The sequence below is a fragment of the Homo sapiens genome, chromosome 2, assembly GCF_000001405.40.
Source record: "Homo sapiens chromosome 2, GRCh38.p14 Primary Assembly".
Taxonomy (NCBI): domain Eukaryota; kingdom Metazoa; phylum Chordata; class Mammalia; order Primates; family Hominidae; genus Homo; species Homo sapiens.
In genome coordinates, this window is record NC_000002.12 from 27,347,598 (window position 1) to 27,354,729 (window position 7,132).

The 7,132-nt window shown below is 45.3% G+C and overlaps 1 protein-coding gene across 18 annotated transcripts in view; it reads right to left on the reverse strand.

Moving 5' to 3' along the window:
- GTF3C2 (general transcription factor IIIC subunit 2) overlaps positions 1-7,132 on the reverse strand; it is a 30,911-nt gene that overhangs the window by 21,744 nt on the left and 2,035 nt on the right. For 4 of the 18 annotated variants that reach the window (NM_001521.4, NM_001394507.1, NM_001394505.1 and 1 more), the window contains one exon: positions 2,717-2,792. The exons of 8 other annotated variants lie outside the window; for them this stretch is intronic. Coding sequence is in view for 1 of the 10 variants with exons in the window: in XM_047444016.1 (XP_047299972.1) it covers positions 2,717-2,792 (76 nt within the window). In the remaining 9 variants the exon portion in view is untranslated. Of the gene's footprint in view, positions 1-2,716; positions 3,036-6,560; positions 6,659-7,132 lie in introns of all 18 variants that reach the window. 6 more of the 18 variants (NM_001394503.1, NM_001394506.1, NM_001394510.1 and 3 more) reach the window with 3 other exon arrangements.

Here is a 7,132-nt window from a genome sequence, read left to right on the forward strand (position 1 = left end):
GAAGAGTACCCTTTTGAAGAAGTGATTCAGAAAACAGAAGGAAATTTCCAACAAAAAATTCCTGCACTTTCAAAAACATCAAATGGATTGTGAAATCCAAGAGCTAGGGTTTGAACATCCCCTCCAAAACTCATGTTGAAATTTAATTCCCATTTGTAACAGTATTAAGAGGTGGGATCTTTAAGAGATGATTAGGCCACAAGGGCTCCACCCTGACCAGTCAGATCAGTGTCATTATAAAAGGGTGAGTTTAGGGCAGGACCCAGTGGCTCATGCCTGTAATCCCTGCACTTAGGGAGGCAGAGGTGGGAGGATCCCTTGAGCCCAGGAGTTTGAGACCAGCCTGGGCAACATGGCAAAACCCTGTCTCTACAGAAAAATACCAAAACAGGGCCAGGTGCAGTGGCTCACGCCTGTAATCCCAGCACTTTAGGAGGCCCGGACGGGCCAATCACGAGGTCAAGAGTTTGAGACCACCTGGCCAACATGGTGAAACCCTGTCTCTACTAAGAATACAAACATTAGCTGGGTGTGGTGCCGCGTGCCTTAATCCCAGCTACTTGGGAGGCTGACGCAGGAGAACTGCTTGAACCCGGGAGGCAGAGGTTGCAGTGAGCCAAGATAGTGCCATTGCACTCCAGCCTGGGCGACAGAGCAGGACTCCGTCTGAGGGAAAAAAAAAAAAAAAACTAGCTGGGCATGGTGGGCAGCAGGGACCTGTAGTCCCAGCCACTCAGGAATTGGAAGTGAGAAGATCACTTGAGCCTGGGAGGTGGAGGCTGCAGTGAGCAGAGATCGCGTTCCTGCACTCCAGCCTGGAGTTGAGACTCTGTCTCAAAAAACAAAAAACAAACAAAAAAACCGAAAACATGTATCATAACAATAAACACATATCATTTAAACTCATCCATTAAAAGAAAGAATAGGACCAGGTACAGGCTCATGCCTGTATTCCCAGTATGTTGGGAGGCCGAAGCAAGCAGATTGCTTGAGGCCAGGAATTTGAGACCAGCCTGGCCAACATAGCGAAACCCCATCTCTAGTAAAAATACAAAAATTAGCTGGGCATGGTGGCACAAGCCTGTGATCCCAGCTACTCAGGAGACTGAGGCACGAGAATCACTTGAGCCTGGGAGGTGAAGCCAAGATCACACCACTGCATCCCAGCCTGGGCAGACAGAGCAAGATGCTATCTCAAAAGAAAAAATAATAAAGATTTGGTTTGATTTTAATTTTGTATTTATTTATTTATTTTTGAAATGGAGTCTTGCTCTTGTCACCCAGGCTGGAGTGCAGTGGCCTGATCTCAGCTCACTGCAACCTCTGCCTCCCAGGTTCAAGTGATTCTCCTGCCTTAGCCTCCCCAGTAGCTAGGATTACAGGCGGCCGCCACCACACCCAGCTAATTTTTGTATTTTTAGTAGAGATGGGGTTTCACCATGTTGGCCAGGCTGGTCTCAAACTCCTGACCTCAAGTGATCTGCCTGCCTTGGCCTCCCAAAGTGCTGGGATTACAGGTGTGAGCCACTGTGCCCAGCCTGATTTGATTTTTTTTTTTTTTTTTTTTTGAGACAGAGTCTTGCTCTGTTGCCCAGGCTGCAGTGCAGTGGCGCGATTTCGGCTCACTGCAAGCTCCGCCTCCCGGGTTCACGCCATTCTCCTGCCTCAGCCTCCCGAGTAGCTGGGACTACAGGCGCCCGCCATCATGCCCGGCTAATTTTTTTTATTTTTAGTAGAGACGGGGTTTCACCGTGTTAGCCAGGATGGTCTCGATCTCCTGACCTCGTGATCCGCCCGCCGCGGCCTCCCAAAGTGCTGGGATTACAGGCGTGAGCCACTGCGCCCAGCCCTGATTTGATTTTAAAAGACAAATAACTATATGCTTTTCAAGAGATGCCTAAAACAAAATAACTCAAAAAGCTGAAAATACAAAGATCAACTAAAATGTACAGGGCAAAATCTAAGCAAAAACAAAGGAGGAGTTTTGATGACAATAGTAAAGTCGAATTTAGGGGGAAAACATTAAATAGGAATAAAGGGAGTACTATTTTTTTTTTTTGAGACGGAGCCTCTCTCTGTTGCCCAGGCTGGAATGCAGTGGCGTGATCTCGGCTCACTGCAACCTCTGCCTCCTGGGTTCAAGCAACTCTCCTGCCTCAGCCTCCCGAGTAGCTGGGATTACAGGCATGTGCCACCATGCCTGGCTAACTTTTGTATTTTTTAGTAGAGACGGGGTCTGGCTGTGTTGGCCAGGCTGGCCTTGAACTCCTGACCTCAAATGATCCCCCTGCCTCAGTTTCCCAAAGTGCTGGGATTACAAGCATGAGCCACTGTGCCCAGCCCAAAAGGGAGTAGTTTATAATGAATAAAACTTCAAATCATATAAAAGATATAAATGTCAGGAACATTTAAACATCAAATAACAGCATCAAAAGATACAAAGCAAAATGTTCATGACACAGAACAATAACTTCTTTTAATCAATGACAAAGTAGATAAGAACAATGAAGATATAAATAAAATAAATATTCCCCCCATATTGGCTCAGTTGCATAGAACAGAATCCTCTCCAATCAGTTCAAGCAGAAAGGAATTCACTACACGGTATTAAACAGTTCATATCAGAGGTTCACAAAGTGTGGCCCCAGAAACTGCAGCATCAGTATCACCTGCAAATTTGTTAAAATGCAAATTCCTAGTTCTACCCCAGACCTACCGAATCAGCAATTCTGGATGGGGCCAGCACCTTGTGTTTTAACAAGCTCTTCAGGGGATTCTGACGCACACTCAAGCTGAAAAACACTTGCATAAATAAATGATCACGATGAGGGTTGAGGGAAAAACAGTTGGTAGGAACAAGTGCTTATCAAACTGGGAAGGTGCTCTTATTTACAGCTGCTGGCTCAAGAATCATGTGCTGGGCTGGGCGCAGTGGCTCATGCCTGTAATCTCAACACTTTGGGAGGCCAAGGTGGGAGGATCGCTTGAGGCCAGGAGTTCAAGATCAGCCTGGGCAACACAGCAAGACTTTGTCTCTGCAAAAAAATTTTTTTTGAAAATTAGCTGAGGCTGGGTGCGGTGGCTCATGCCTGTAATCCCAGCACTCTGGGAGGCTGAGGCAGGTGGATCACCTAAGGTCAGGAGTTCCCGACCAGCCTGGCCAAAAGCGATGAAACCCCGTCTCTACTAAAAAATACAAAAATTAGCCAGGCGTGGTGGAATATGCCTGTAATCCCAGCTACTCGGGAGGCTGAGGCAGGAGAATCGCTTGAATACAGGAGGCAGAGTTTGCAGTGAGCCGAGACTGCACCACTGCACTCTAGTCTGGGCGACACAGCAAGACTCCATCTCAAAAAAAAAAAAAAAAAATTAGCTGAGTGTAGTGGCATGCAACTGCAGTCTTAGCTACTTGGGAGACTGAGGTGGGAGGATCACTTATGCCCAGGAGTTGAAGACTGCAGTGAGCTATGATTGTGGCACTGCATTCCATCCTCACAGAGCAAGACCCTGTATCTAAAAATAAAAAATAGCAGGCCGGGCATGGTGGCTCACGCCTGTAATCCTAGCACTCTGGGAGGCTGAAGAGGGCGGATCACCTAAGGTCAGGAGTTTGAGACCAGCTTGGCTAACATGGTGAAACCTCGTCTCTACTAAAAACACAAAAATTAGCTGGGCGTGGTGCCACGTGCACTTGTAGTCCCAGCTACTCAGGAGGCTGAGGCAGGAGAATCGCTGGAACCTGGAAGGTGGAGGCTGCAGTGAGCTGAGATCGCGCCACTGCACTCCAGCCTGGGTGACAGAGTGAGACTCCATCTCAAAAATATAAAATAAAATAATAACAAAACATATGCTATGATGGGAAACCACCTGCTGAATCAACAAGCCCCTACCACAGCCAATGGCTCCATAAACAAGTTGTGTCTGCAGTAATCAGAAAGTGACCTAACTAAATAGGAGAGCCGCTTCTCTAGCTCCTGATCCAGAACCTCATCACTGCCAAAATCTGCACCAGCAAATACATGCCTCCTAGTCTGCCTTTCTCCTCTCTAAAATCAGATTCAAATTTAAGTTCTCCAGGAGCATATTTGATTTGTAAAACCTAAATCATATTCAGAATCTTGGATGCAAAAAATTCCAGACAATGAAATTTCTCACTTTCCAGGCTCTCAAGTGGAAGTTGCTCATTCACTCACATCCCACCTACCTCAGGGTTCAAAGTGGGATCAGTCCCTTCAATTCCTCTGCAATGCCACTTGCAGACCAACAGTCCCACACGCCCCCCATCTTGTAAAAATCTTGTTCCTTTGATGCTTAGAACATTCAGCTAAACCGCAGCTACTCACTTTGCTGTCATTCTCTGAACCTTGTCATCACCCAAACCTCTTAACCTCCAAAATCACTAAGACATCTAACTATCTGATCTCCCATCATTACAGCTAGACTGCTTACCCACTATCACTTTTATTCTCCAGCTGTATCAAGCCACTATCCCTTGATCTCTCCAATTTCTCTGTATGTCAGCCACATCCTATCTAGTTTAGATTCCTTCATTTCAATCAGATTCTCGCTGATATTCATCTTCTTGTTCCACATGCTTAGCAAAACTCAAGCCCTGTTAAGTTCAACCATCCAACTCTTTTATGTGTGAATCTAAGTTGCTGAGCACTGGCAATCCCACTTTCTCTCTAGTCAGCCCCTACATGCTCTCCCCCTACACATTCTCTGATCCCGATTCTCTGCAGATGATTTTGCTTTTGATTTCCGAAACAAAACCAAAGCCGTTAGGTGGGAGATACTTCAACTTTTTGCCAAGTAAGCTAATACTCCCTGCCTCTGACACCTTCATTCACTCTCTAACACCAAACCTTTCACTTGTGTTCTAGCCCCATTCCCCCATCTCCTAATGGAACTGGAATTAGTTTATCCATTTCTTTTCTATTGGCTCCTTCCAAACAGCATTTAAATATGTTTATAATTCTCATCTTCACACATAACTATCCTTCACCCCATATTCCTCCTTCCACTAATATTCTCCTCCTCCTACAGTCAAACTTTTAAGACATAAATAAAAGTATATAGATATAAAAAAAGTTTAAGATATAAATAAAAGCTCCTTGATTATTTTAATTTCCCTGCATCATCCTAAGAAGCATATTGTCCCCCAACTCATCAGTGAAATTAAAATCATCAATAATCACTGTATTATTAATCCAATGGACATTTCTCAGCCTCATTCAAGTTGACCTCTCAGCAGCTCCAACACTACTTTCTTGAAACATTCACTTTTCTTGAGAAGCAATTCAACGAGCAGTAAAATTCCACAGTTTTACAAAATTCCCTCAATTTTTTACAGTTGTCTCATTCACACCTATTTGGCAGCTTTTTTGTTTGCAAACTCACCTCTTTTGTCTTTCTAAAGCATTCAATTTAGTTTTAGTTTGCTTCCTTTACTTTTTTAGAATTGTTTTCACAAAACTTTTACTTCATATAAAATACTATAAAGATAGCAACAAAAGGCCGGGCGCTGTGGCTCATGCCTGTAATCTCAGCACTTTGGGAGACTGAGGTGAGCAGATCATGAGGTCAGGAGATCGAGACCATCCTGGCCAACATGGTGAAACCTCGTTTCTACTAAAAATACAAAAATTAGCTGGGTGTGGCGGCACACCCCTGTAATCCCAGCTACTCAGGAGGCTGAGGCAGGAGAATTGCTTGCAGGAGGTTGCAGTGAGCCAAGATTGCACCACTGCACTCCAGCCTGGCGACAGAGCTAGACTCCGTCTCAAAAAAAAAAAAAAAAGGAGCAAACAACCATCTATGGTTCAACTTAGTTTTTTAGTTTTTTGTTTTTGTTTTTTTGAGACAGAGTCACGCTCTGTCTCCCAGGCTGGAGCGCAGGGGCATGCTCTCTGCTCACCGCTGCCTCCGCCTCTGGGGTTCAAGTGATTCTTCTGCCTCAGCCTCCTGAGTAGCTGGGATTACAGGCATGTGCCACCATGCCCAGCTAAGTTTTGTACTTTTAGTAGAGATGGGATTTCACCATGTTGGCCAGGCTGGTCTCAAACTCCCAACCTCAGGTGATCCACCCACCTCGGCCTCCCAATCAACTTAGTTTTAATAGAAACAATAACTCTTTCATATTAAAATTTATTTCCCCTGTCACCCAGGCTGGAATGCAGTAGTGCGATGATCATGGCTCACTGCACCTTGACCTCCTGGGCCCAAGTGCTCCTCCCCATCTCAGCCTCTCAGGTCACTGGGACCACATGCACACACCAGCAGGCCTAGCTAATTTTTATTTTTTTTGTAGAGACAGGGTCTCAACTATCTTACTCAGACTGGTCTCAAATTCCTGGGCTCAAGTGATCCTCTAGCTTCAACTTCCAAAGTGCTAGGATTACAGGTTTGAGTCACCACACCCAGCCTATAACGTATGTATAAAGACAAAGCAAAACATTAAAAAAAAAAAAAAAAAGGGTGGGAGCCTGGACAACATAACAAAATCCTGTCTCAACAACAACAACAAAAATGTTTAATTAGCTGGGTGTGGTGGCAAATACCTGTAGCTCTAGCTATTCGAGAGGCTGAGGCAGGAGGATCGCCTGAGCCCAGGAGTTCAAGGTTACAGTGAGCTGTGATCATGCCACTCGACTCCAGCCTGGGTGACAGAGCAAGATCTTGTCTCAAAAAAAGTGGGAACCAATACAATGACTCTTGGCAAGCATTCAACTCAACTAGTGGAAGCAGACTGACCACGTCTACAGGAGAAAAACCTTCAAGCTTCAAGCATTTAGAGAGGAAATAAGAGTATGTCAGTTAACATAAGGAGCTAAATGGAAATCAGTTAAGAGAGCTTCTATACAAGTCTTAAGGATTTTCTAGGCCAAGTGCTGTGACTCACGCCTGTAATCCCAGCACTTTGGGAGGCCAAGGCAGATGGATCACTTGAGGTCAGGAGACTAGCCTGGCCAACATGGTGAAACCCCATCTCTACTAAAAATATAAAAATTAGCCCGGCGTGGTGGCAGGCGCCTGTAATCCCATCTACTCGGGAGGCTGAGACAGGAGAATCACTTGAACCCAAGAGGCAGAGGGAGAGGTTGCAGTGAGCCGATATCACGCCACTGCACTC